General features: G+C 39.3%; 3 protein-coding genes across 27 annotated transcripts in view, besides 2 other annotated features; 2 read left to right on the top strand and 1 right to left on the bottom strand.

Annotated features, from left to right (window-relative positions):
• EIF2AK2 (eukaryotic translation initiation factor 2 alpha kinase 2) overlaps nucleotides 1-8,203 on the top strand; it is a 57,771-nt gene extending 49,568 nt beyond the window's left edge. For 5 of the 6 annotated variants that reach the window (XM_047445116.1, XM_011532987.3, NM_001135651.3 and 2 more), the window contains one exon: nucleotides 18-8,203. In XM_047445116.1, coding sequence (XP_047301072.1) covers nucleotides 18-140 — 123 coding nt within the window. In that variant the 3' untranslated portion in view covers nucleotides 141-8,203. The remainder of the gene's footprint in view (nucleotides 1-17) is intronic. The other variant, NM_001135652.2, reaches the window with a different exon arrangement.
• On the bottom strand, nucleotides 8,169-22,895 carry GPATCH11 (G-patch domain containing 11). Of its 11 annotated transcripts, none has more exons than NR_163986.1 (10): nucleotides 22,843-22,895; nucleotides 18,973-19,044; nucleotides 17,547-17,773; nucleotides 16,691-16,732; nucleotides 15,377-15,497; nucleotides 15,158-15,248; nucleotides 13,218-13,331; nucleotides 12,653-12,761; nucleotides 11,895-11,976; nucleotides 8,169-11,205 (listed from the first exon to the last, which is right to left on the bottom strand). NR_163986.1 is itself a non-coding variant. In NM_001371859.3 (10 exons), the coding sequence occupies exons 3-10, from the start codon at nucleotides 19,029-19,031 to the stop codon at nucleotides 11,150-11,152; spliced, it is 792 nt and encodes a 263-aa protein (NP_001358788.2). In that variant the 5' UTR covers nucleotides 19,032-19,044; nucleotides 22,021-22,089; nucleotides 22,843-22,895; the 3' UTR covers nucleotides 8,169-11,149. The 11 variants fall into 11 exon arrangements, 9 of the variants coding, with proteins under 9 accessions (NP_001358788.2, NP_001358787.2, NP_001358789.2 ...); NM_001371859.3 differs by lacking the exon at nucleotides 12,653-12,761 and adding an exon at nucleotides 22,021-22,089; NM_001371858.3 differs by lacking the exon at nucleotides 12,653-12,761 and having other exon boundaries at nucleotides 22,827-22,895.
• Nucleotides 22,804-22,963: an enhancer, noted in NCBI's record as "active region_15579". NCBI's record gives its function as "activates an Ori minimal core promoter by ATAC-STARR-seq in GM12878 lymphoblastoid cells {active_cell/tissue: GM12878}" and the evidence as "EXISTENCE:reporter gene assay evidence [ECO:0000049][PMID:35858748]".
• HEATR5B (HEAT repeat containing 5B) overlaps nucleotides 23,041-27,231 on the top strand; it is a 103,478-nt gene continuing 99,287 nt past the window's right edge. For 9 of the 10 annotated variants that reach the window (XM_047444812.1, XM_047444810.1, XM_006712035.5 and 6 more), the window contains exons 1-2: nucleotides 23,041-23,144; nucleotides 23,977-24,124. In XM_047444812.1, the coding sequence (XP_047300768.1) occupies nucleotides 23,999-24,124 (126 nt within the window). In that variant the 5' untranslated portion in view covers nucleotides 23,041-23,144; nucleotides 23,977-23,998. Of the gene's footprint in view, nucleotides 23,145-23,976; nucleotides 24,125-25,657; nucleotides 25,813-27,231 lie in introns of those variants that run through there. The other variant, XM_047444814.1, reaches the window with a different exon arrangement.
• Nucleotides 23,434-23,533: an enhancer, noted in NCBI's record as "active region_15578". NCBI's record gives its function as "activates an Ori minimal core promoter by ATAC-STARR-seq in GM12878 lymphoblastoid cells {active_cell/tissue: GM12878}" and the evidence as "EXISTENCE:reporter gene assay evidence [ECO:0000049][PMID:35858748]".

Here is a 27,231-nt window from a genome sequence, read left to right as displayed (position 1 = left end):
TCTCACTGTCATTGCAGAAAACTCTTCTACAGAAATTACTCTCAAAGAAACCTGAGGATCGACCTAACACATCTGAAATACTAAGGACCTTGACTGTGTGGAAGAAAAGCCCAGAGAAAAATGAACGACACACATGTTAGAGCCCTTCTGAAAAAGTATCCTGCTTCTGATATGCAGTTTTCCTTAAATTATCTAAAATCTGCTAGGGAATATCAATAGATATTTACCTTTTATTTTAATGTTTCCTTTAATTTTTTACTATTTTTACTAATCTTTCTGCAGAAACAGAAAGGTTTTCTTCTTTTTGCTTCAAAAACATTCTTACATTTTACTTTTTCCTGGCTCATCTCTTTATTCTTTTTTTTTTTTTAAAGACAGAGTCTCGCTCTGTTGCCCAGGCTGGAGTGCAATGACACAGTCTTGGCTCACTGCAACTTCTGCCTCTTGGGTTCAAGTGATTCTCCTGCCTCAGCCTCCTGAGTAGCTGGATTACAGGCATGTGCCACCCACCCAACTAATTTTTGTGTTTTTAATAAAGACAGGGTTTCACCATGTTGGCCAGGCTGGTCTCAAACTCCTGACCTCAAGTAATCCACCTGCCTCGGCCTCCCAAAGTGCTGGGATTACAGGGATGAGCCACCGCGCCCAGCCTCATCTCTTTGTTCTAAAGATGGAAAAACCACCCCCAAATTTTCTTTTTATACTATTAATGAATCAATCAATTCATATCTATTTATTAAATTTCTACCGCTTTTAGGCCAAAAAAATGTAAGATCGTTCTCTGCCTCACATAGCTTACAAGCCAGCTGGAGAAATATGGTACTCATTAAAAAAAAAAAAAAAAGTGATGTACAACCACTTCGGAAAACAATTTGGCATTATCTAGTAAAGTTGAATCCATGTATACCCACATAGCTATCAATTCTATTCCTACATACGTGCTTACAAGAATGTCCATAAAACCCTGTTTATAATAGCCAAAAGAACAGGGAACAACCATAATGCACATCAAAAGAAGAATGGATTAAAAAAATTATATTCACACACAGGAGTACTATATAGTATTGAAAACAATTGAAGTACAGCTAAATGTAATAACGTAACACAATACAACTCTCAGAAACATAATGTTAAGCGAACAAAGCAGGTTTTCAGAAAATATATGCAGAATAATTCCATTTATATAAAGTTCCAGAGCATGCAAAACTAAATCATTTTGTATAAAAAACCCAACAAATGTGATGAGACAATAATGGGAAGGAAGGGAATGAGAAATATTAAATTCTGGATGGTGGTTATCTTTGAGGGAGGGGAATGATGTGATTGGGGAAATGGACTTTCAAAGGTAATGGTAACTTCCTTAAGCTGGATGGTAGGTCCACTAGTGTTTGCTGCATAGTTATACCTTTTATCTTAAATACATTTTGTATCTATTGTAACAACCACTTTAAAGACAACCGTGCTGTAAGGCAGTAGCTAAAAACAGAAAATAGTCCATCGGGAAGGGTAAGATGGCTTTCTGCTGAGCACAGGGCTAGAAGTGACAGCCCAGTGGGCCTTCCAACTATATGCCAGGGTGTTAGATGAGTAGAGAGGAGACCACCCAGGAAGTCTGGACAAGGGGTCTGGCATGAGCTCTGGAGAAGATATATTTGAGGAACATGGGGTATGCTAGTTTGTTGTCCTGAATTGCTGTAGAGAAGATAATTTAAATTGCATCTTAGAAGACGACCCTGAGGGTGAATTTCAACTTAGGGCAATTGTTTTAGTTTGTTTCTTATTGGTTTAAATGGATACTTGAAGCTGGATAATTTATAAGGAAAAGAGATTTATATGACTTACAGTTCTGCAGGCTGTACAAGAAACATGGCACCAGCATCTGCTTCTTCCCCGGCTGCTTCCACTCATGGTGGAAGGTGAAGGGGAGCCGGATGTGCAGAGATCATATGGCAAGAGAGGAAGCAAGAGAGCGAGGGAGAAGGTGCCAGGCTCTTTTTAAATAACCGGCTCTTGAGGGAACTAATAGATTGAGAACTCCTTGCTTCTCCTCCCCAGCACACCCCACCCCCAGGGACGGCATTAATGTATTCATGAGGGGTCTTCCCCCATGACCCAAACACCTCCCATCAGGCCCCACCTCCAACACTGGGATCAAATTTCAACATGAGATTTTGGGGGACAAACATGCAAACTATAGCAGCAACCAGCTACCATTCTAAAACTGCCATATGATTTTAGGATTTTTAAAAAGGGCCAAATTTAGGTTAAGCAAAAAGTGAAAATACAGTAAGAGAAAATAGTTTTATAAAGGCTTTAAAAAGTGTTCATAAAGAGCAGTTCATAGATTTTTCACGTAACGTTCATCAATAGATGCTAAAACTATTGGATGAAAAGCTATTGTGGAATAGGATCTTCTACAAGGATTTAAATATAATCCTACAGAAGAGGTATCAATTATACAGGGGAAAATGTACCTTTACAATGGTCACCACAATAACCAAGTGATTCAATTTAGCATCACCCAAGGTGGAACACCCTAACATTATGCCCCTCCTGATGTGACTTAAGAATTTTACCTATTTAGTTTTCTTGCACAAAGTGTTAAACTGGAATTTAATCATGAGGAAATTATTAGACAAATCCTGAATGTAGTCATTCTATAAGATGATTGACTTGGGCTTCTCAAAAAGTCAGTGTCATGAAAAAAAAAAAAAGGGGAGAGACTTGTAAGATACAATGACCAAATGCAATGTTTGAATCTTTATTGTATTCTGGATATTTAAAAAGACAAAAGCTGGACGCAGTAGCTAATGCCTGTTATCCCAGCATTTTTGGGAGGTCAAAAGGGGAGGATGGCTTGAGCATAGGATTTTGAGACTAGCCTGGGCAACACAGTGAGTTCTCATCTCTACAAAAAATCAGAAAATTAGCTGGGCATGGTAGTGTGCATCTGTGGTCCCAGCTACTTGGGGGGGTGAGGTGGGAGGATCACTTGAGCCTAGGAGGTCAAGGCCGCAGTGAGCCATGATCATGTTACTGCATTCCAGCCTGGGTGACAGAGTGAGATCATATCTAAATAATAATAATAATAAAAGAAAGCAACAACCCAGCAAACAGCTATAAAGATATCTTCGGGACAATTGAGAACATTTGAATATAGACTGCATATTAGATAACAATGCCAAATAACTGTTTTCTCAGGTGTGATAATAGTATATGTAGAAAATGTCTTTTTGTTTTGTTTTATTTTGTTTTTGTTTGTTTGTTTGTTTTGAGACAGAGTCTCACTGTGTCGCCCAGGCTGGAGTGCAGTGGCACGATCTCGGCTCACTGCAACCTCTGCCTCCCAGGTTCAAGTGATTCTCCTGCCTCTGCTTCCTGAGTAGCTGGGATTACAGGTATCTGCCACCACTCCAGGTTAATTTTTTCTATTTTTAGTAGAGACGGAATTTCACCATGTTGACCCAGCTGGTTTTGAACTCCTGACCTCAGGTGATTCACTTGCCTTGGCCTCCCAAAGTGTTGAGATTACAGGCATGAGTCACTGCACCCAGCCAAAAATGTTTTTTTAGGCAATGCATGCACAAACATTTAGAGGCCAAGTGTGTCATGATGTCTGCAACTTTCAATGTTCAGCAAAAATCAACATGGAGAGAGAAAGAGGGCACACATGTGGCAAAATATTAGCCATTGTACAATTGGTAAATCTAGATGACAGTACACAGGTGTTTGTTGTATTATTCTTTGAACTTTTCTGTAGATTTGGAAATGTTCTGCGTAGAGAGAAATCTTTTTTTAAAAAAACAATATCTGGTTTTGATTAATGAGGCTATATTCAAAAGAAACACTAAATGATGTGGCCAGTTAGTGAGAATGTAGCCTTATCTTTACTGACCTCATTTTAATATTCCTACTCTGGCTGGGCATGGTGGCTCACGCCTATAATCCCAGCACTCTGGGAGGCCGAGACGGGTGGATCACCTGAGGTCAGGGGTTCGAGACCAGCCTGGCCAACATGGTGAAACCCCATCTCTACTAAAAATACAAAAATTAGCTGGGTGTGGTGGTAGGCGCCTGTAATCCCAGCTACTCGGGAGTCCGTGGCAGGAGAATCGCTTGAACCCAGGAGGTGGAGGTTGCAGTGAGCTGAGATCACGCCATTGCACTCCAGCCTGGGTGACAAGAGCAAAACTCAGTCTCAAAAAAAAAAAAGAAAAAAAAAGATATATATATTCCTACTCTTATTAAATGAATATAGCATTTCTTAGCAACTTCTTTTGATTTGTGAGTATATATTTTCTTGGCCTCAAAATTAAAGTAAAAAGTATCCTCTTACTCAGAGGAGGACAGGGGCAAGAGCCTGGGACCTTATTTGCTAATTAAAATGCACACACACACACACACACACAGAAATTTTGAGAGCCATTTTAATATAATTGCCTCCCTAGAAACATACCTTTTAGGGAATTTTTATCACTAAACCACATGTTATTTAAATACGTACATGTTTAACATAAATACATACATAAAATTCACATGCATACTTAACACTTATGTTAAATATATTCAATGTATATACATATGTACACAATATATGCATATATACATGTGGGTATGTGGTATGTGTGCATGTGTGTGTATGGCCAGCTACATAATTTGTGGGACTAAGGGCAAAATGAAACTGTACGGCCCTCGTTCAAAAATTAGGTGTGGGGTGCTTCTAAGCACAGTCTTGTGCAACTGCACAGGTTGCATGTCCATGAAGCCATCCTGTGTGTGTGCACATATGTGTATGAATATGTATTTTATATAATACATATATATGCATGTATGTATCTGAGAAGAAATGTTTAAAAGGCTACATACAAGCTTTTCCAGGTCTCTACTATCTGTTAACTAACTAGAGACATAACTCACAATATGCAGTCCCCACTGAGTGTTCACCATAATTTGAGATTCTTGGCATGTTAACTTTTCATTATGGAATATTGAATAATTTCAATATTATTCATACATTTCTTTATGTTCAAACATACACAAAAATAGAATAATGAAACTCTACCCATCACCCAGCTGCAACAAATATCAATACTTTACCGTTCTTAATACATCTAACCCCTTACTTTTTGTTTGTTTCTTTTGGTGAAGTATTTAATTGTAATTTTTTTTTTAAGAGACAGGATCTCACTCTGTCACCCAGGCCAGAGTACAGTGGTACGATCACAGCTCCTTGTAACCTCGAACTCCTAGGCTCAAGTGATCCTCCTGCCTCAGCCGCTTGAATAGCTGGGACTACATGCATACACCAACACACCCAACTAATTTTTAAATTTTTTGTAGAAATATGGTCTTGCTGTGTTTCCCAGGCTGGTCTCAAACTCCTGGCCTTGAGAGATTCTCCTGCCTTGGTCTTCCAAACTGCTGGGATTACAATATCCGGCCCTACTGGAATATTTTAAAGTAAATCTCAGGTGTTACATCATTGCACTTGTAAGTACTTTAAAATGTATCTCTAGCAGATAAATCTTTTTAACAAAACCACAGCATCATTGTCACACTCAAAAAATTGACAAGATTTCCTTAATTATCATATAATAGTCTGTATTGTTTCTATCTCAAAAATACAGTTTTCTTGGTTGTTGAAATCTAGATCCAACATTGCATTTGGTTGATGTGTCTCCTTTACTCTGTAAAATTTACCCCTGCGTTTTAGTTCTTTTCGGCTTTTATTTGTCCTGTGGAATTTCCTCCACTCAGGATTTGACTGAGAGTATCCCCAGAGTGTCCAGTTAGACCTAGAAGCTGGATTTGATCCTGGTTCATTTATTTTCCCCCAAGAATACTCCATAGGTGATGCTATACACTTTCTCTTACATCATTTCAGGAGGAACATGATGTCTGATTGTTCCACTTTCAGTGATTTTAATATTGATCAATGAGTTCTGGTGGTACCAACTACTACAAAGTTTCTCATCAATCTTTCACCTGATGGTTTTAGCAGCTATTGATAATTGTTGCCTGGATCCATTATTTCATTTCAGGGGTTGTAAAATAGTGATTTTCTGGTTCTATCAAACCTCTTGCATTTATCATCTATGATTCTTCTTTAAGGAACTTTCTCTAAATCTGAATGGGAAAGATGCGATAAATATTTATCAAATTTTAGAGTGAGTTAGTGCCCTAGCAACCTCCACAGTTGACAAATGAGTATTTCTTTAAAGCAAGGTATGGCCCAACCAATACTTTGAAACTAGCATGTTTAGAATAGAGCAGGAGGAAACTATATTTGAAAGGTCAGAAGTGGAAAGACTAAGAGGGCCTGAACAATAAGAGGACAGAACCAAGAGGAGTTGGCAACTAATTGGATGTGGGGATTAAGGAAAGGTAAGCATCAAAGATTACCTCCAAGTTTGTTAGAAGGTTAGTAGCAGGATTCTGATGCCATTCAAGTAAATACAAGTCTCAGTCAGATGAACCCCAAGAGCCACATGTATTTGAGGGGTACTTTGTCTCACACTTTTACCTGTTACATGGTTTTCAGTAATTTAGAATTTAAGCCAGTAGTGGGGCGACTGTACATCTATCGACATGGTGAGGTAGAGCATGTTTGGGAGGAAAGACGTTGAATCCCATTTGGTGACAGTGAGCTTGAGGTGCTGCCAGAACACTGCACTGAAGATAGGAGGAGACTGTAGGAAATACAAGATAGGAAAGGTCTCCACTGAAATGTTAACTCTTTCTCTCTAAACGGCCATCCAGGCCTCAATGTCTGCAGTTTCTGATCTGTGATTATGACTTATCCAAATCTTACATTTCTTAAAAATAGTCATAGATGAAGGGAATCACAGTTGATAGTTATATGGTGACATTATTGGCTTAAATTCTAAATAACTAGAAACTGTATAATAGGCAAAACTGTGAGGCAAATAAAATGCTTCTCAAATCTGTGTGGCTCTTATGGGGTTAATTTGATTTGGACCTGTATTAATTTCTTATGGCTGCTATAACTAACAAATTACCACAAACTTGGTGGTTTAAAACAACACACATTTATTCTCTTTCTGTTCTGGAGGCCAGAAGTCTAAAATGAGATTCACTGGGCTGCAGTTCACTGGGCAAGGCCATGCTCCTCTGGAGGCTTCCATGATGCATCCCATATTCAGTGTTTCCCGAGTAAGCCCCACCCATGCAGGTCTGCAGTTTTACCTCAACAGGCTTTTGCACTCAGTGGCTCTCTCCTGTGGTTTCTATCTGAAATTCTCTTCATTTTTTTTTTAATAACTGCTTTATTGAGATATAATTCACATGCCATACAATTCACCTATACAGTATACAATTCAGTAGTGTTTACTATATTCAGAGTTGTGCAACTATCATTTTTCTCACCCCCAAAAGAAACCCTATGCCCGTTAGTATTCACTCTGTTTTCTCACAACTCTAGGTAACCACTAATCTACTCTCCATCTCTATAGATTTGCCCATGCTAGACATTTCATATAAATGGAATCATACATGTGGTCTTTTTCACTGAGTATATTTTCAAGGTGCATCCCAGCTGTGGCATGAATCAGCATCTCATTCCTTTTTATTGCCAAATAATATTCTATCATATGGATATGTCGCATTTTATGTATCCATTCATCAGCTGATGGACATTTGGGTTGTTTGTACTTTTTGGCTACCATGAATAATGCTACTATGAACTTTTGTGTACAAATCTTATGTGGACTTGTTTTCATTTCTCTTGGATGTATATTCCTAGGAGAATGGCTGGATTATACAGTAACTCTTTCCTCATAACTTTGCATATCAAAATTATATCCATCTTTCAGAACCCAAATTCAGTGTTATTTCCAAAGTGTTCCAACATCTCCCACTCAAAATGAATCTTCTCCCTAGTACTCCCATTGTTTAGTACCTAATTGTTCTTACCAGTTTGTCTTAGAGCTCAGTCATTCCTACACAGCACTTTTCTTCATTATACTGCTAATTTCATTACACTGTAAGAGTGGGGACAAGCTGTTCTTCTTGTATACCAGAAAGTAGTGAGTGCACTGCTGTGAAGAAAGCAGGAACTCAAAAGTTAAGAATTTTGAATGAGCCTATAAAATGTGTCTAATAAATAATAATGTTCATTTTCAAATCTCAACAATTAAATGTTTAACAAATAACACTTGAAATAAATGTTTATTAGAAAAACCAATTTGGTATGTTAAAGTATTTATTTTGAATTTCAGAAACTACAGAATTCTGGATTTTTAATTAAGAAAATTAGACATTTTAGAATTTCTAGATAGGACTTTGAAAATAAACATGGCACAATATACACAAAAGTAAATGACAACATGACATTAAATTTTACATTGTTTTGCAGTTTCAAATTTCGTATTAATGTTCTACAACAAATTTTAAAATTCTTTTCAGTGTTTTGCTTCCCTTGGTGTTCATTATTGCCTATTTATAAAGTCATAAAAGGCCTAAAAATAACTTGTTACTCATATTGAAAGTCTGATTTTTTTTTTATTCCCTTAAGATGGAGGTCTCTCACTATGTTGCCCAGGCTGGTTTCAAACTTCTGGGCTCAAAGGATTCCCCATCTCAGCCCCCTGAGTAGCTGGGACCAAAGGCATGCACCACTGCACCCGGCTGAAAGCCTGTATTTTTATCTTTCGATGGACAACAGAGGGATATCTCCCACTCTCTAAGCCGGTCTAGTTCTAGTACTAGGCCTGTAAATGTAGACCACAATCCTGGTGAAGTCATGGGTTCCATCAGTGTTATCCTGGCATTCTCAGCATAATTGTCATGAACATATTTAAAATATTTTAGGCCACTGAGCAGGTGTGGGTTGTCCTCATAGTAACAGGAGAAAGGGAAGCCAGTTCCTGTCTAACTCCATTCCATCTGAAATTATCCATTTGGCTTTGGGATTTGACTGAATGTTGGTATGTTGGCTGAAATGACACCACAGTATTGACTGGAATTGCAAGGGTAAAATGTACTCCTCTGTTTTATTAATAGCTCTCTCTCTCTCTCTCTCTCTATATATATATATATATACATACATATATATATATAATTTTTTTTTTTGAGACAGGGTCTTGCTCTGTCACCCAGGCTGGAGTGCAGCAGCATGATCTCAGCTCACTGCAATATCTGCCTCCCAGGTTCAAGCAATTCTCATGCCTCCGCCTTCTGAGTAGCTGGGATTACAGGCGAATGCCACCACGCCCAGCTAATTTTTGTATTTTTAGTAGAGATGGGGTTTCACCATGTTGGCCAGGTTGGTCTTGAACTCCTGGCTTCAAGTGATCTGCCTGCCTTGGCGTCCTAAAGTGCTGGGATTACAGGAGTGAACCACTGCGCTCAGCCAATTTTATAATTTTTTTAAAAACAAAAAAGTAAATATTAAACAATAGCATCCAAACATATAAATATTATATATATACACATATTTACATTCATAAAAATAATGATTAGTTTTCTGGATGAAGAACTGAGGCCCAGAAGTTAACTAGATTAGTGGCTCAAGGTAGGCTGCATTTTAGAATCAAGGGCAGTGATGCCCAAGTCACAGTGACTAATGGCATCAGAATCTCTTGGGATGGGACCCTTTTATTACTATTTTGTAAAGCTCCCCAAGTTAAACTTGAAAAGTGAATTAGGTCATATTAGGTCAGAGATTAATACAAATTGTACTACTGATTATCTTACCCTAGCAAGTGTAGGTTAATTTTTACAATCTTCTTATGTATGCTGTTTCTAATAAAAGGGGTTGTTCTCTTGCTCAATCTAACTAACAGGTGAGCTATAAAATCACACAGGTGATCACAACTCTATCCAAAGAATGGTGGTGCTCCATCCTTAACCTCAGTACTAGTTCTTATCCTCAGGTGCTTATCACTCATTCTTGGGACTTCAAAATAAATATATAGATATCCAGGAACCACCTTAGCCAAGACAAATCAAAATCAATCACTAGGAGAGACACCTGAGCATATGAACTTTTAAAAAGGTTCATGATTTTGATGCCTCACCCTGGATGGAGCTCTCTCATAGTATGCCACACGGTATGTCCTTAGCTGTATTCATTAATATTACAGGGAAGCAGATTTCAGTTTAAGAGAAAACAATGAAAACAATTCAGAGCTACCCAGTAATGGAATGGTTTTAAAGCAGTGAGTTCTCTGTGGCTGGAAGAATAAAAGCAAAGGTTGAACTATCACTTGCTGGGAATGCTATCAAGGGGTTTCCAAATTCAGTAAGTACTTGCATCACACAATATTTAAATTTCCTCACAATTAAGTTTCTCTAGCCAAAACTTCCAACAGATCACATATAATGGATATAGACATTGTCATGAAAACTCATGATTTTACCAGAAATTATCACAGTTAAATGGATTAGAATTTAGTAGTACTGGTCGAACATTGCCTCTGACATCAGCCTTATTGAGGGGAATACTTTTCCCCTCCTCTTCATGCTTGGATGGAGGGAAGGGAACTTCTCCTTGCTCCTTCAAAGCAAGAAGTGTAGGAAAAAGCTCTCTGAACCCTCATTCATTCCTTCCCAAGAGAGAACTGTCTTATCCCATGGGTGATACAAGAAGGAACTGAGCATGTGTGGTCCAGCCCCTGGTGGTTTCCCTGACCTTGAAAGCTAACTGGTCTCAGAATGCAAAGATGGGCTCTGCCCCAACAAGGCAGAGACCCGCTGTTCTCTCCAATCAGGGAGAAATATTACAGTCTCTGACTGGAGAAAAAGTCAACCTTCTTCTCTGTATCAGTTTATTCACTGATAAAGTGGATATTTTTCTCTTCCTCTGACTCCCATTTCTTATTTCTCAATTTGTTCCAAAGTGAAGAGGGGAATAAGAAGTTACCTGTTGGTGTCCTTAAACCCCTCACGTATCACAATATAGCAATAAATTGTAACTGTCCATCTCTGTGATACTTGTGTTCTGAAATGCCATTGCATTATTTTTTTCAAGTCAATGAACATTCATATTCTAAAGTACAAAAAGAACAAAACATTATATAAAGTCCCCCTTTCTTTACTGGCATAAAAAATTTGAGATTTCCAACTGCTAAATTGTCTATCCCTAGGAAGTAATAACATTTTTCAAGTTTCCACTTTATTGGGAATAATCTTAGTCATGATCTGCAGAAGTTGGTCCTGGACAATTTGAAGATAGGTCTTCTTTATCTGTAAGTTATGTGAGGGAAATGAAAGATTAATACAACTTCTACAGTAAACTAGAAAATTATTTCAACATAACATGCATTTTTTGATCTGATGTTTTCTACTTATTCTGCTAAACCAGAAAAGATAAAAACAACAATAACCAAAAATGCTTCACTCTCAAGTACAAAGTTCTTAAATACAAGTTAGCAAAGGTAGCTTGGGCAAAGGTGTTAGAAGGAGAAACACTTGGCTCTGTAAGACACCTGGTAAGTGTAAACCATTTCTATCCTTACAATGGAAAAAAAAAGGAATGGATTTCAACATATCTGATTTTTACGGTTTAGGGGCAATATTCTATCTAAGTATATAAAAATTAGCTCTAAAATTTAATATAAATTCTTTCAAATATCTGTAGCCAAAGAAAGAATCTTTAAAAATAAAGCACAAAACATTCATCATTCTCAGGTTATTCTAAAATTGTTTCTTTTGAAACAAAACACTGAAAAATTCACTTCCACACATTCAGTTTCTGAAAAGTTAAATGCAATTTTAATAAAGCCTCAATTATTTCTATATCCACTATTTAAGAAATTGGTCCCATACTGCCATTTGAATGGAATAAGAAATTTCCATTGTCAGTGGGAAATGACTTTAACTAAAAATTGGAGAGCATTCATCTATTTTTAAAAAGCATAAAGTAATTTTCTTACCTTCATAGGCTGTTCCACACCAAATACAATATAGATGTTCTTCTCTTAAATAACTAGTCAATATTTGTAATTTTTCCAGTACCTATAGGATACAAGCACATTATTAATACTTTACATTGAACAGAACCTTGGTTTTCTGGCTCTTAGATCGTGCCGAATTAGCTCAAGGCTGTAAATATTCTGCTATACTCTGGAATAGTTATTAGAAATGTCAAGGACAGAACTGATATATTCGAATGTGTTACAGTTCATTAGCCACCCTGAGATTTCCACAAGTCTGCCAGACACAATGGAGACTGCTTGTTAACATTGAGAAAATAGTTTTTGGGTGGCCTTATTAAAATTGGCATCCTTTAAAGGCTTTTTCTACTTTCAAGGCATTTACCTCCCCCAGATAAGGTGAAGGTGAATATGGCCTCCTTTTGCCATAAAAGTTCTCATCAATGGTCTCCCAATTAAGTGGAATATAGGTTTTTCAAATTGTGAATGTTTTCCACAAAATTATTATACTCAAGTAAGCATACGAGTGTGTTTTCCTTTCTTGAATAATCTCCATTTCCTTTTTTTTTTTTTTTTGTGAGACAGGGTCTCGGTCTATCACCTAGGCTGGAGTGCAGTGGCGTGATCTTGGCTCACCGCAACCTCTGCCTCCCGGGCTCACGTGATCCTCCTACCTCAGCCTCCTGAGTAGCTAGGATTATTGGGTGCCCCACACCTGGCTAATTTTTGTATTTTTAGTAGAGACTAAAATACACTACCATGTTGGCCAGGCTGGTCTTAAACTCCTGACCTCAAGTGATCCACCAGTTTTGGTCTCCCAAAGTGTTTGGATTACAGGTGTGAGCCACCATGCCCGGCCTCCATTTTCTTTTGATTGTGTTTTTTTGTTGTTTATAAGTAGGAGAAAAAAGTACACATTAGAATGACTTGTAGAAGTTTTGCAGGAAATAAGGTATAAATTAAAATAATTTACATTTGTTGCTAATTCATCATCCAAACTGAAGCTGAGATGAGAGGACAAATGGAAGCTAAAGGGAAAAATTATATGTAAGTTTTGATTTGGGGTTAGTAAAGTAATCCTGCAATGCAGTACCTCTCAACCAGGGGTTATTTTTCCCCTCGGGGACATTTAGCAATGTCTGGAGAGGGTTTTGGTTGTCATAAGCAAAAGTGCAACTGGTATCTGGTGGGCAGGGGCCAGAGATGCTGCTAAACATCTTGCAATGCACAGGACAGCTCTCCACAACAACGGATTACCACAACTCAAAGTGCTAATGTTGCCAAGGCTGAGACACCCTATGAAGGAAATGGTGCAAAGCATACGCTTAAATCTTCACTCTTATATTCATCTTCATCCTGTTCTTTTTCTTCTTCATCTTCTTCAGTCTCCTCTTCAAGCCTCAACCAGTACCATGCTTCCCTGGGAACCTGAATATTCTGAAAATGCAGAAGTAGTCTCAATTAAACATACTAAACATAAGAGCATGACAAATATGTTCATGTCAACATGAATTCATTCTTTCAATACGTATTCACTGAGTGTGGCTTTAAGAGTAAAAACACTGGCCGGGCACGGTGGCTCACGCCTGCAATCCCAGCACTTTGGGAGGGAGAGGTGGGTGGATCACGAGGTCAAGAGATCAAGATCATCCTGACCAACATGGTGAAACCCCATCTCTACTAAAAATACAAAAATTAGCTGGGCGTGGTAGTGCATGCCTGTCGTCCCAGCTACTCAGGAGGCCGAGGCAGGAGAATTGCTTGAACCCAGGAGGTGGAGGTTGCAGTGAGCCAAAATCACGCCACTGTACTCTAGCCTGGTGACAGAGTGAGACTCCATCTCAAAAAAAAAGTGAAAACATTGTACCATGAACTATGGGGATGCAAAGTCCAATTCTTTAGAATTGTGCAGTTGTCTTTAAGTTCCTTCTGACAGTCTAGCAGGAAAGATAGGCTATGGGTACAAAATAATACATATATGCTACAAAATCATAAGTGCCATGAAATACATTCAAAGTAAAGTAATATGTAAGAACAGGAAAGTGAGAGATTGCTTCCAGTAATCTATATATAAGGGAAATTTTACAAAGCTTTTTGAGACTTCAAATGAAGTCATTTTATTTTCAGAGTACTTGAACCACTAAGATAAAAGCAAAGACAGAATTTATTTACTTATTTATTTTTTTTGTAGAGCTGGGGACTTGCTATGTTGTCCAGGCTGGTCACAAACTCCTGGACTCAAGCAATCCTGCAGCCTCGTCCTCTCAAAGTGCTGAGATTACAGACATGAGCCACCATGCCCAGCCAGAGACAGAATTTTTTAAAAACTATTCAAATTTGAACTAGATAGCATTCCACCTTGATTTTATTTTTGAGACAGGGTCTCACTCTGTCACCCAGGCTGGAGTGCAGTGGCATGAACATAGCTCAATGCAACCTCAACCTTCTGGGCTCAAGTGATTCTCCCACTTCAGCCTCCTGAGTAGATAGGACTACAGGTGTGTGCCACCACATGCAGCTAATTTTAAGATGTTTTGTAGAGATGGAGTCTTGAAATGTTATCCAGGCTGGTCTCGAACTCCTGGGCTGAAATAATCATCCTGCCTTTGCCTCCCAAAGTGCTAGGATTACAGGATTGAGCCATCATGCCTGGCCCACTCTGATTTTAATAGTTAGACATATATTAGATACTGAATAGGAACTGAAAATAGGCTATTCTTGTTAATCAAATATTATAAAGAACAGAATTTCTGCACATAATAGTCATAACTGATATTCAAATAAGCAGAGAACAATTAAATGTAAAATTTTATTTAACCCTTTTTGTTTTACTATAGTTAGTATAAAACTATAAAACTATAGTTACTATAAAACCCTGGGTTTTATAGTAACCCAGACAACTCAGGTTACTATAGTAAATAATAAGCCATTTTTATATCAATTGTCACAGATCAGAAGTGCACATTACATGAAAGCTTTAATGAGTAGATAAACCGGGCTTGGAGTTCTTAGTTTTATATATATATATAATATATATATTATATATATAAATACATAAAATATATATAATATATAAGACATATGTAAAAAATATATAAATATATATGATACATATAAATATATGTAATACATATATAAACATATAATACATATATAAATATATATAATACATATATAAAATATATATATATATAATAAATAAACGGGAAATCACAGGGGGTGCCAAAACACTTTACTAAACTGAAAGCTGGTAAAAGGCTTACTTTCTGGACATCCAGTTGTTGACAGGCTCGCTGGCTTCTTCTGAGATCTCCTTCTAGCTTCATTTCATCTTGCTTATTTTTAAGTCGCATTCTAATTGAAAGAAAAAATTGTAAACTAAAGGTCTACGTTATCTTTAACCATTTTATATGCCCAAGTACCAGAGAACATACCACAATAAAGAGGAAATAGAACCAAAACCAGCTCAAAAATAGTTTTACCGAAACTGTTCTGCAGCTTTTTCTTCAGCTTGGTTTTTCATGTGAATCTTTTTTCTGTAGCTTTCCAATTTTTCCTCTGCTTTCCGTTTTAATGATGCCTCATGACCAATGCCACTTTTCCCTATTCAAACAGAAAATTCTGATGAGAAACATCCTGACTTTGTGCTTCAAAACAAGACGATTTAACTATGTACAAATTAAATGCAATTCTCATTTGAGTACTATCACTCACAAATCATTTGAGTACACTAATAGTAGAAAACACTAGGGTTTTTTTTAAGCCCAAAACATAATCTGATTTTTACAAAGATTGTTAATCTCATCTTATAGTAATATTATAAACAATTTTTCAAATCAGAAAAACAGTATTAGCTGTTATAGTTTTATTTAAATATGAATAAAATATATCTTTTTCTCTTGAATTCATCCAAGTATTAAGCAAAACATTTGGTAGATAAATCTGTCTCAGAACACTTTTATTTTATTTTATTTTTATAGGGACAGGCTGGTATGTAGTGGCACAATCATGGCTCACTGTAACCTCGAACTTGTGGGCTCCAGGAATCGTCCCGCCTCAGCCTCCTGAATAGCAAGGACTACAGGTGCGTGCCACTACACCCGGTTAATTTTTTAAATTTTTTGCAGAGATGAGGTCTTGCTATGTTGCCCAGGCTGGTCTCAAATTCCTGGCTGCTTTTTTTTTTTTTTCCTTGAGATGGAATTTCACTCTTGTTGCCCAGGCTGGAGTGCAATGGCGCAATCTTAGCTCACTGCAATCTCTGCCTCCTGGGTTCAAGCGATTCTCCTGCCTCAGCCTCCCAAGTAGCTGGGATTACAGGCATGCACCACCATGCCCGGCTAATTCTGTATTTTTAGTAGAGATGGGGTTTCTCCATGTTGGTCAGGCTGGTCTTGAACTCCCAACCTCAGGTGATCTGCCTGCCTCGGCCACCCAAAGTGCTGGGATTACAGGTGTGAGCCACCACGCCCGGCCAACTCTTGGCTTTAAGCAATCCTTCTGCATCGGCCTCCCAGAGCAAAACAGTTTTAAGACATTTCAATGGACAAAAACAGTATTGCACATTCAATGGTTGTAATGATTTGTTCTTCCCATATTCGTGTGGTTTAAATTTTATTTTATACTCACTAAAACTTATTTCTTTTCTGGTTGAAGAGGTTTAGAAATTTAACAAAATTTTACTGAACTGTAACAGTATTATCATTTAAAAAAAAGTATTTATTGAGCAAATATATGTGGTAGACCTAAGCGTAAGTTATTATTATTGGCAAATATGCTCCAAAATAATTACGTACCTGTTTTGATATTGAGAGGAATTGGTTCAACAATACCACCCCCTTAAAGAGAATGAATACAAACTATTTTAGAAAATTTTCCTCAAACTACAGAACAGTATAAGTATGCAACTTTACAATGCTCTATGCATATGCCCTCCTGTTTCAATGATATTCAAAATTGAAATCTGAACATCTATATATATTCTATATATAATCAATTATCTACCTTGTCTTCAAATACCTACTCATCAAAAAGGCTGATTCACAGCCTCCTATGCCACCTGAAGGTGGAGTTTTAAGAAGGAACAACACTGATATTATTGGTGCAAGACGGTGACAGCCTTAAGTGAAAGCAAAGCAATTACGATAAAGGAAAGAAAAACGGTTTACAGAGGTTACTATAAATATATAGCCTCTCTAGCTTAATAAGCAGTTTCACTTCCTAAAAAGAGAGGTGAGAATTGAGCCTCTCCAACTGGACGGTCATTCAGATGGCTGCCACAGGTACAGAGCAAGCAGGGCAAAGTCTTGCCATCATCCTCAGTGTTGTTTCAATGTATTTAGCCATTGCACTTCTCAACCCATCACTTATCACCATTCTTTGCTTCTTCTGTTGTAAGCCACATCCATCTAGGTTGTTAGTGCCTTCAGCTAAGCTGGGCTGATAAGCAGCTCTTGATGGCACATGTGGTATCTAAAATGGATGTGGGATGATGAAAAGCTCTCCATAAGGCTTGTTAATACATAATAGACTAAAAAGCCTAAGTTGTTATAATTTCTGTGTAGATAAAGATTAAAGCATCAGCTTTGGTCCTTATCCATAAGTCACAATTAGGTGGTAAGGAATACCTGTTTATTTCCACATGTGACTTACCACTCTTGCCAAGTGCCTGACCACTTTTATAGCCCATCTTTTGGAGCAAGGCAAACCCTTTGTTTTCACAGCCTAGTGCATTCTTCAACCCAATGTCACGTCTTTCTTGTTCTTCTTCTTTTAAACTCTTCTGCCTGTTTTTCAAATTGGCTTCCTGTTGCTTTTCTTCTTTTCGACGGGCTTCTCGGATTTGCCTTAGCATTGGCAATCCTGGTCTGATATCTTCTCTGAATAAGGGAAAAGTTTATTTTAGATGAGTCCATAAAGTTTTCTTTTCTTTTTTTTTTTTTTTATTTTTTGAGACGGAGTTTCGCTCTTGTTGCCCGGGCTGTAATGCAATGGCATAATCTTGGCTCACTGCAACCTCCGCCTCCTGGGTTCAACCGATTCTCTTGCCTCAGCCTCCTGAGTAACTGAGATTACAGGCGCCCACGACCATGCCCGGCTATTTTTTGTATTTTTAGTAGAGACGGGGTTTTGCCATGTTGGCCAGGCTGGTCTTGAACTCCTGACTCCAGGTGATCTGCCCGCCTCAGCCTCTCAAAGTGCTGGGATTACAGGCGTGAGCTTCCACGCCTGGCCAAGTTTTCTCATAACTCTGTCACTTACTCACCTGACAACAGTTAATATTTCGGCACTACCTCTATGATCATCTTTGTTATTATGATATTAGAACATAATCAGTGACCTCTAAGAATGGCTGTTTTAGTAGAAATGATGAAGGCTGGTGCCAGATCATAGGAAAATAAGGAAAGCACGAAGTTGAAGAAATCAGATATAGTAAGTTTAGACTTACTATGTTTCTAGGATGTTGGCAATAATAAAGAACAAAGTTGTATAGCAGCTAGAAGAGACAATATGATGTAATAAAGGAAAAGGAGTAAATTTCCTTGGAAGAAGGCAATAAAAAGGATCAAGGGCAAAAGTAAAATGGTTAGCATTAAAAGGAGGAAGTAGATTCTAGTATCTTTCTATGGTGACATAGGAGGTATTTCCATAAAGCAAGAAGACTGACTTTCCCACTGCACATTTAAAATCACTGTCAGGCTGGGCACGGTGGTTCATGCCTGTAATCCTAGCACTTTGGGAGGCCAAAGCCGGAGGATCGCCTGAGCCCAGGAGTTGGAGACCAGCCTTGGCAACACAGTGAGACCTTGTCTCTCCAAATAATAAAAAAGAAGAGTTAGCCGGGCATGATGGTGCAGGCCTGCAGTCCCAACTACTCGGGAGGCCAAGATGGGAGGATCTCCTGAGCCTGGAGAGTTTGAGGCTGCAGTGAGCTAAGATTGTGCCACTGCACTCCAGCCTTGCTAACAGAATGAGACCCTGTCTCAAAAAAATAAAATAAAATAAAATAAAATCAATGTCATTTCTTAATCTACACATCTTATACATATCATTGCACTGGGTGTGCACATTTACTTACTGGACATTAATGAAGGAATCAGACATATAGTCCTCTTCTTCTGCCATGTTCAACTTCATATGGCTATAGTATCTACAAATAAAGTAATAATTACTTTTTTTTTTAGTTTATCAGAATGGAAATAAACCTTTCTGTATCTGCAGCCATGAGCTGTCTCTAGAGCTCTACTATATATTCAAGTGCCCTTTGGACATCTTTATCTGTGGACATTTCAAACTCAACAATCTAAACAACTCATTTCTTTCCCCTTTCCCCAGCCTTCTACATCCCCTGTGTTTCCATGTTGATGTCATCATTATCTCCTTCTTCCTGACCTCTTATGAAGCTGTCAAGTCTTCCTCCATAAAACTCCTCACAGACGTTTTCTCTACAGTTGTGACCACTGCTTTAGTTCAGGCACTTTTTTTTTCTCACCTGAACTATTACAACAGCTTCTTAATCAGCTTCTTAGTTGGTCTCCTCTTCCAGTCCATTCTCTGCACCCCATCCAGAGGTTTTTTGTTTATTTGCTTGTTTGTTTTTAAATACAAGTCAGGTCACGTTACTAGCCTGTTTCAAATCCTTCATTAAACCTGACCCTGTAGGCAGTGGGGGACCAGTCACTTTTGCAAAGCATGAGATGTTGTCCTTCATAATCTGACACAACTGTCCCTAAGGATTCATTATTCAAGCCCCATGGCTCCTCACTGCCCTCTGAACAGAGTACAAACATTTCTTCCCTGTAGGCCAAGGCTACCCTCCCTTCAGAAACCTCTCCTGACCACTCCAGGCCTTTCTCTACAGCACTTTATGTCCAAGCTGCTCATTTGGAAGTTGATATAGTTAACAACTCACTTATGTGGAAATATTTTGAGGGACAGTTTCTATCCAAAATAGTTAAAATCATGTAATTATTGGCCCTTAAAGGGTTAAAGTAATTTTCTACAAAAGTACTTCTCAAACTTTATTGTGTATACAAATTGCACTGAGATCTTCTTAAAATGCAGAATCTGATTCTGGGGCTGGAACCTGAGGTTCTGCATTTCTAGCAGGTTCACAGGCAATGTCAATGTTGCTAGTTCAGTTGCTTAAGACAAAAGTGTATTCACTTGTTGTGGTGCATATGTACTGTTTTTTCCTGCCTACCATCTTTTCCTTTGGGAATCCAACCCTCTGCCCTTCATGTGGTTTTAGTGGAGGGTGGCAATGTCAGTATCCCATATTTCCTTGGGCACAAAGATGGTCAATTATAGTACTCTATGTCCAGCACCAGGGGACGAGATGACCCAGCCAGAGAAATAACCATCTTTTTCCTTACATTATATGAATATATGGGTTGTGGGGGAAAGAAGGTCTTTTATGGGTGTTTCTGAACTGGGAGAATGTGAAGCTGGGCTGTGGATGGCCATCTTCTTGGCCCCATGAAGGGATCTTGTCTGAAGAATGAAGCCAGATAGAGAAAATGAGCCTAGTTTCCAAGGCTGCGGATTCTTTGAAGCTGCGACTTAGCATTCTACCCCATTACATAGACTAATACATTTCTGCATTACTTAAGCTTGCTGAAGTAGGGTTTCTGTCAACTGCAACCAAGTGTCTAGACAATTACACTGGATGAAAAAAGGATTACTATACTAATTTTTAATGGTTTTCTTTTTTGTTTTTTGAGACAGAATCTCGTTCTATCACCCAGGCTGGAGTGCAGTGGTGTGATCTCAGCTGACTGCAACCTACACCTGCCGAGTTCAAGCAATTCTCATGCCTCAGCCTCCCGAGTAGCTGGGATTACAGGCATCCACCACCACACCCAGCTAATTTTTGTGTTTTTAATAGAGACAGGGTTTTGCCATGTTGGCCAGGCTGGTCTCAAACTCCTGGCCTCAAGTGATCCACCTGCCTCACTCGGTCTCCCAAAGTGCTGGGATTACAGGCGTGAGCCACCACACCTGGCCTGGTTTTTTATATTTTTAATGTATATCTTCTCAACTAGATAATGTATATCTTGTGTTAAACACAAAGACAAGTCCCCTATATCCTCCCTACCTACCACTGCATCCCAAACACAAATGCTTAATAATTGTTTAGCAACAATGAGGATAAAAAGGGTCTTTAATATTTGTAATTTTATAACTTTTTCCTATGTCAACAAGTCATTTTTAAACACTTTTTAAATACGTACAGAAAACACATAAAACAAATGTACAGCTTAATACATTTCTGTGAGTCAAACATTCTTGTAACCATGTGGTACCCTCCAAAATGACTCCCAGTCATTCTTGCTGTGTGGTTTTCTACATCCTTAGTGTAGTCTCCTTCCACAGTGAACAGGATTAACCTGTGTAACCAACAGGATTTTGTGGAGATGATGGAGTTGATTTTTTGGTCATAACTGCAGCTCTTAGGTCATTCTAACTTTGAAGTTAGATGACTCACTTGAAGGAAGTCAGTGGTCACATAATAAGGATACTCAAGAAGCTCTATGGAGAAGGTCACACGATTGGAACTGAGTCCTCCTATTAAAAGCCAGCACAAACTCATGAGCCACAGGAGTGAGCTACCTTGGAAATGGATTCTCTTGCTCCAGTCAGGCCTTCAAATGACTCAGCCTGGGCTGGCATCTTCACTGCAACTTCTTAAGAAAGTCCATGCTAAACTAAGCTAAGCTGCTAACAAATTCCTGACCCATAGAAACTGTGAGATAACAAATGATTACAGTTATCTTAAGCTGCTACATTTGGGGATAATTTGTTATGTAGCAAAAGTTATCAGGAAGTAGAACCTTATCAGGCACCTGGGAGCCCTCTTTGTCCCCTATCCAGTTGCAACTCTCTTTTGGTTCTAAGAATAGTCACTATTCTGTTTTTTATGGCAATCATTTCCTTCATTTTCTCGATAGTTTTGTCATCCACGTGTGCATCTTTAAACATTACAGTTTAGTTTACCTATTTTTATTATAAGTTAAAAACGTGCACTATTATATACAGCATTTATGGTAATTCACCCGCTTCCTCTAAACCTCAGATTCTTCATTGGTAATAACAGCATTTTTACACATAATGGTTTAACACTTACCCAGTATATCACACATTTTTATCACATTTAACCACCACTAACAACTCTACAAGGTAGGAAGAGTTTTTCCTGTTGGAGAAATTAAGGTTCAGTATGGCTAAATGACTATTTCAAAACCACAAAGAATCCGGGTCATAGTGCCTTGCAAATAGGATTACATTGTTTTTAAGAGACCTACTTAACTTTAAAGTGCCAGGCACATCTGAATGGGGTTACAGGTTGCTTTTAAAGCTCTCTTTCTATTGGTAAAATATACTTTAGCATTATCCATTTCCATCAAAGATAAGCATAAACTTCACAAGGCGATACCCTGGCAGAGATGATGGAGGCTCGTACCAGAGTGATAGCAATGCAAGTGGTCGCATTTGGGGTACACTTGAAGGTAGAGCTTACAGGATTTGCTGATGTTGTAGGTAGTACGTAAAGAACGATGTCAAGATAACGCTAAGTTTTTGGCCTGAATACATGGAAGAACGGAGTTAACGTTTTTTGAGAGTGGGAAGACTGTAGGAGTAGGTTTGTTTTTGTTTTTTTAGGGGGCGTAGTCGGGAAACAGACATATTGAGAGTCCCATTACATATACAAGTGGAGAAATGGACCTACAGTATAAATGTGACAAGAAACGTCCCACTCTCAATACTACGCTCAGGAACCGCTGATCCCTTCCCTCACGCGTTCCTCCTGGCTGCAAGCGTCCCACAGACGCAACCACCCACGGATGGAAAAGTGGCTGACGGTGTGATACGGTAGTCATGGCCAGCGCACTCTGCCTTTTATCATTCTACCGGTTGTCCCCAGACCCTTACCTGACAGCTCTCTTACCTGACAGCTCTCTGCTCGCCCCGGTTCAGCGCCGTAGAGCGCGCGCTGCGCATGCGCCCACCGACCAGCGTCGGACTTCCGGACCTCGGCTCCCACCAGTTTCCTAGTGCAGACTCTATTGGAAATTCGCGGCGGGTGGGGATAGGAGGACGTGGTGACTGCGCTTGCGCAAGACCAGCCCTCCGCGCAAGCGCTCTTCCCTTGTTTCCTGCAGGTAGGAGTGCGGGAGGTGGGGCATCCGGGTCTCTTGGTGGCTGCTTCTACCCCCGGAGCTCAGCTGATCTTCCCTTCCAGACTACGAGGTGAGGTCGCCGAAGCATGCATGTTGACACGCACGGACTCCTGTCCGACGTACATTTTCAGACGGGTGGGGAAGACATTTGAGTTCGTAATGAACATTTTCCCTTTTCTGGCTCCGTGCTTAGTTCCGAGCTGCCGCCTCGTGCTATTGACAGCCTGCGGAACCCCACGGAGGCTTGCGGCGGCCTCTTGGTGTTTCCCCGGGTCCGCCGCTTGCGGTTCTTGGAGTAGCCAGGTGAAGCCAGACCCCGAGCGCGCGAGGCTTCTCGGGTGCATTCCGGACCGCCTGGTGTTGTCACTGACGCTTCGGCCGCCGGGCCTGGCCGCCCCACCCATCCGCGTAGGAAGAGTCTTGGAGACCTGCAGTTCGGGATGTCTGTGCTGGGTGTTTTGACCTCAGTCCCTCTGGCCAGGTGCAGCGCGGGAGGGTAAAGGTGCTATGTACCGAACCCTGGACGAGAAAAAGAGGAGGATGGTTGTCAAGCCCGGCTGGGGTGTTTGATCTTAGTGCTTCAGTTTTTTCATTTATAGAACGGGTAAATGACATATGTGTTGCTGGACATATTTCTTCTGGAATAATGCCTTTTTTGGCAATAATTTCTTTTAATTTTCTTTTCACTCCATGAGTCACTCTTCCTTACCAAGTAGTTTTCTTCTGTTTTTGTTTGTATTTTTGTCATTTAAAAGTATGTTCTCAGGTTTTGCCTCAAAGAAGTTGAGTTTTTCCCCAAATGAAATGAGTAGTCCTACTTTTCTTAGTGAGTATATTCCATTAAGCTTGACTTTTAACATTAAAAAATACTTACAAGTATTTTTTACTCTGTTAAATTTAAGGTGTGAATTTCAAACTTCCGTAATGGAGTTAGCCCACAGTTTATTGCTAAATGAAGAAGCTTTGGCTCAAATCACCGAAGCAAAAAGACCAGTTTTCATCTTTGAATGGTTGCGATTTCTTGATAAAGTCTTGGTTGCTGCCAACAAGGTATGGTATTGCTCTTTTTTCCCAGTTGCATTAACGTGAAGAGATTATGTGGTCATGATTCTTAAGAAAACACATGTTATGTTTTGGAAGGTTTATGGGTCACTTATGGAACTTGAGAGTATTACACGAATGGGAAATTTAGTGGCAAAACTCAAACCTCGTTTAAATCCAGCTCATTGCCTATCTTCTTTATGTTTGTACCTGGGCAGCTCATTGTAACTGGAGAAAAACATGGCTATATGACTGGTGTCACTTTAAATTTATCATCGTCACCCGTTGCAAGTGATCTCTCTATGCTGCCTAACAATCCCAGTGTCTTCACTTATCTCTTTGAGGAGTCAATAATAGGCTCTTTTTTTTTTTTAATCTGTTTTTTCTTCCTGCATAGCCTTGATTTGCCGAGACCAGCTCGTTTGGGGAGACCCTAACCTAGCGGCGCTAGAGGAATTAAAGACACACACAGAAATATAGAGGTGTAAAGTGGGAAATCAGGGGTCTCACAGGCTTCAGAGCTGAGACCCCGGAACAGAGATTTACTCAAGTGTCTATTAACAGCAAGCCAGCCATTAACATTGTTTCTACAGATATTCGATTAGCTAAAAGTATCCCTTATGGGAAACGAAGGGGTATGCTGAAACAAAGGGGTGGGTCTGGCTAGTTCTGTGCAGCAGGAACATGCCCTTAAGGCGCAGATCGCTCATGGTATTGTTTGTGGTTTAAGAGCGCCTTTAAGCGGTTTTCAGGCCAGGTGTTCCTTGCCCTCATTCGGGTTTCGTTATGGCCATCATGAACATGTCACAGTGCTGCAGAGATTTTATTTATGGCCAGTTTTGGAGCCAGTTCCCAACATTGATTCAACTTACTTTTTATTGTCTGTGTATTTTATATTCTGTCTTTAAAAGTAGATATGGCCCGGCATGGTGGTTCACGCCTGTAATCCCAGCACGTTGGGAAGCTGAGGTGGGTGGATCACCTGAGGTCAGGAGTTCCAGACTAGCCTGGCCAACATGGTGAAACCCCGTTTCTACTAAACACTGCTAAAAGTACGAAAATTAGCCAGGCGTGGTCGTGGGCGCCTGTAATCCCAGCTACTGGGGAGGCTGAGGCAGGAGAATCGCTTGAGCCGGAAAGGCAGAGGTTGCAAGGAGCCGAGATCGCACTAATGCACTCCAGCCCGGGGGACAAGAGTGAAACTCCATCTGAAAAAAAAAAAAAAAAAAAAAAAAAAAAAAAAAAGTAGATACTTCCCTCAAATGTCTGATGATCTTTGGCTGCCTGATCAAATTTAAAAGTGAGTAGTAAAAACTTTTCTCAGCAGGGCCAGTCTTTTAAACTGGACTTCACTGTAGGCTAGTTTGGTCCCTGACCTTAGTATTTTAGGTTTCTGTAGGCTAGTCATTCCCCAGAAGATACTTTTCTACTGTCGTGTCTGAAGAGTATATAGCTAGCTGGCTACATTCTTGGAGTTGTGGGAGAAGACTGGGGACTTTAAAGTTCAGTATGTGAACTTTCACTGCATCTCCCCATTTTCAGTGCAGTTTTCCCAGACCGCAACTGTGCCTGGACTCTTCTAGTCTGGACATACAATATTTCACTCTTCCCAGAGAATAAACTTTCAGTCTGCTTCCATAATGAAGAAGAGGATTCTTTCTGCTTATTAGACTCTCAACCATTCCCTCTATCTCAAGGTACATACAACTTCACTCCCACCTCCAAAAGCACCTAGGGCTTAAAAAAACCGTGATCTCTTAGGGGGTCCTGTGTTGTAAGTTAGGTCATTTTGCAGCTTTCCCTGTTGGGAACAGTTGGTTTCCAAATACTGTGTTGATTCTTTCTCCTGTTTTCTTTACCCTTTGGATTTGTGCTTTGTTGTTATTGTTCCTGTTGTTGTTGCTACCCTTTAGTATGGTTTTAATGGAATTTCTATAGAAACAGTCAATGCATGACCTAATGTAAATGACGAGTTAATGGGTGCAGCACACCAACATGGCACATGTATACATATGTAGCAAACCTGCACATTGTGCACATGTACCCTAGAACTTGAAGTATAAAAAAAAAACAATGCATGGATTCACTTGTAATTGTCAACTAGACGTTTCTGTTTTCTCTTAAATCCTCTACAACTGGGGATTTACTTCCACTCCACTGAAACAGCACTTGTCCAGCCATTACTGATGACAGATTGCCCAGAACAGTGGTCAGTATTCTGTCTTATTTGATCCATCTCCATCTTTTCACCTTGAAACACTTAAAACGTCTTTAATTTTGTTCTGAAATTGATAAATACAAGAGTGTATAAAACAGGAAGCATAATATGAATATCTGTACACCCTCCACCCAAATTAAACAATAAGATTGTTATCATTGCTTTGCACAGTTTGTGTGAAGTTTTCTTCCTGTTCGTGGCTTCCCAAGACGCTGTTAGGTTTTGGTTCCTCTCCCACTTCACTAACTACTACTTCTTGTTCTTTTTTAACTCTTCCTCAGTTCAGGGCATTTTTTTTTTTTTAATCTGTACATATTCCTTCAGTGATATCATCTAATTGTATGATTTTTACTATCATCTATAAAATAATGATTCCCAGGATAATGTTTACTCCACCTCTTTCTTATCTAAGTGGCATCTCAGAGTTAACATACCCAAACCAAATTCTTGATTTCTCCTCCCAAACCTGCCCTTTCCCCCATGTTCTCTATCTCAGGAAATGACCATTTCATCCTTCTAGTTGCTCAAGGGAAAACCATAGAGTCATTTTTGACTTCCCTCTTTTTCTCAAATTTCATGTTGTATTCACCAGCAAATCCTATGGTTTCATCCACAAACAAATCCAGAGTTTATTTATCATCTCTATGGTTACCGCTATTATCTCTCATCTGGATTATTGCATCTGCTTCCTATTTGGTCATGATGCTTTCCATTTATGGACCATATAGAGTATTCTTAGAAGTCAGAGTGAGCCTGTTAAAAACATTTAGATCACGACCCTCCTCTGCTTCAAACTCTTACTCAGAGTAACATACAAAGTTCTCTTACTGAGAGTGACATACAGAGTTCTATAGTGGGGTGCAAGAGATTACCTGATGTGGTCCCTTCTATCCTTCTG

The sequence above is a fragment of the Homo sapiens genome, chromosome 2 (assembly GCF_000001405.40).
Source record: "Homo sapiens chromosome 2, GRCh38.p14 Primary Assembly".
Classification (NCBI taxonomy): Eukaryota; Metazoa; Chordata; class Mammalia; order Primates; family Hominidae; genus Homo; species Homo sapiens.
Note: the sequence above shows the minus strand (reverse complement) of the source record. Positions and strands in the feature narration are given on the sequence as shown.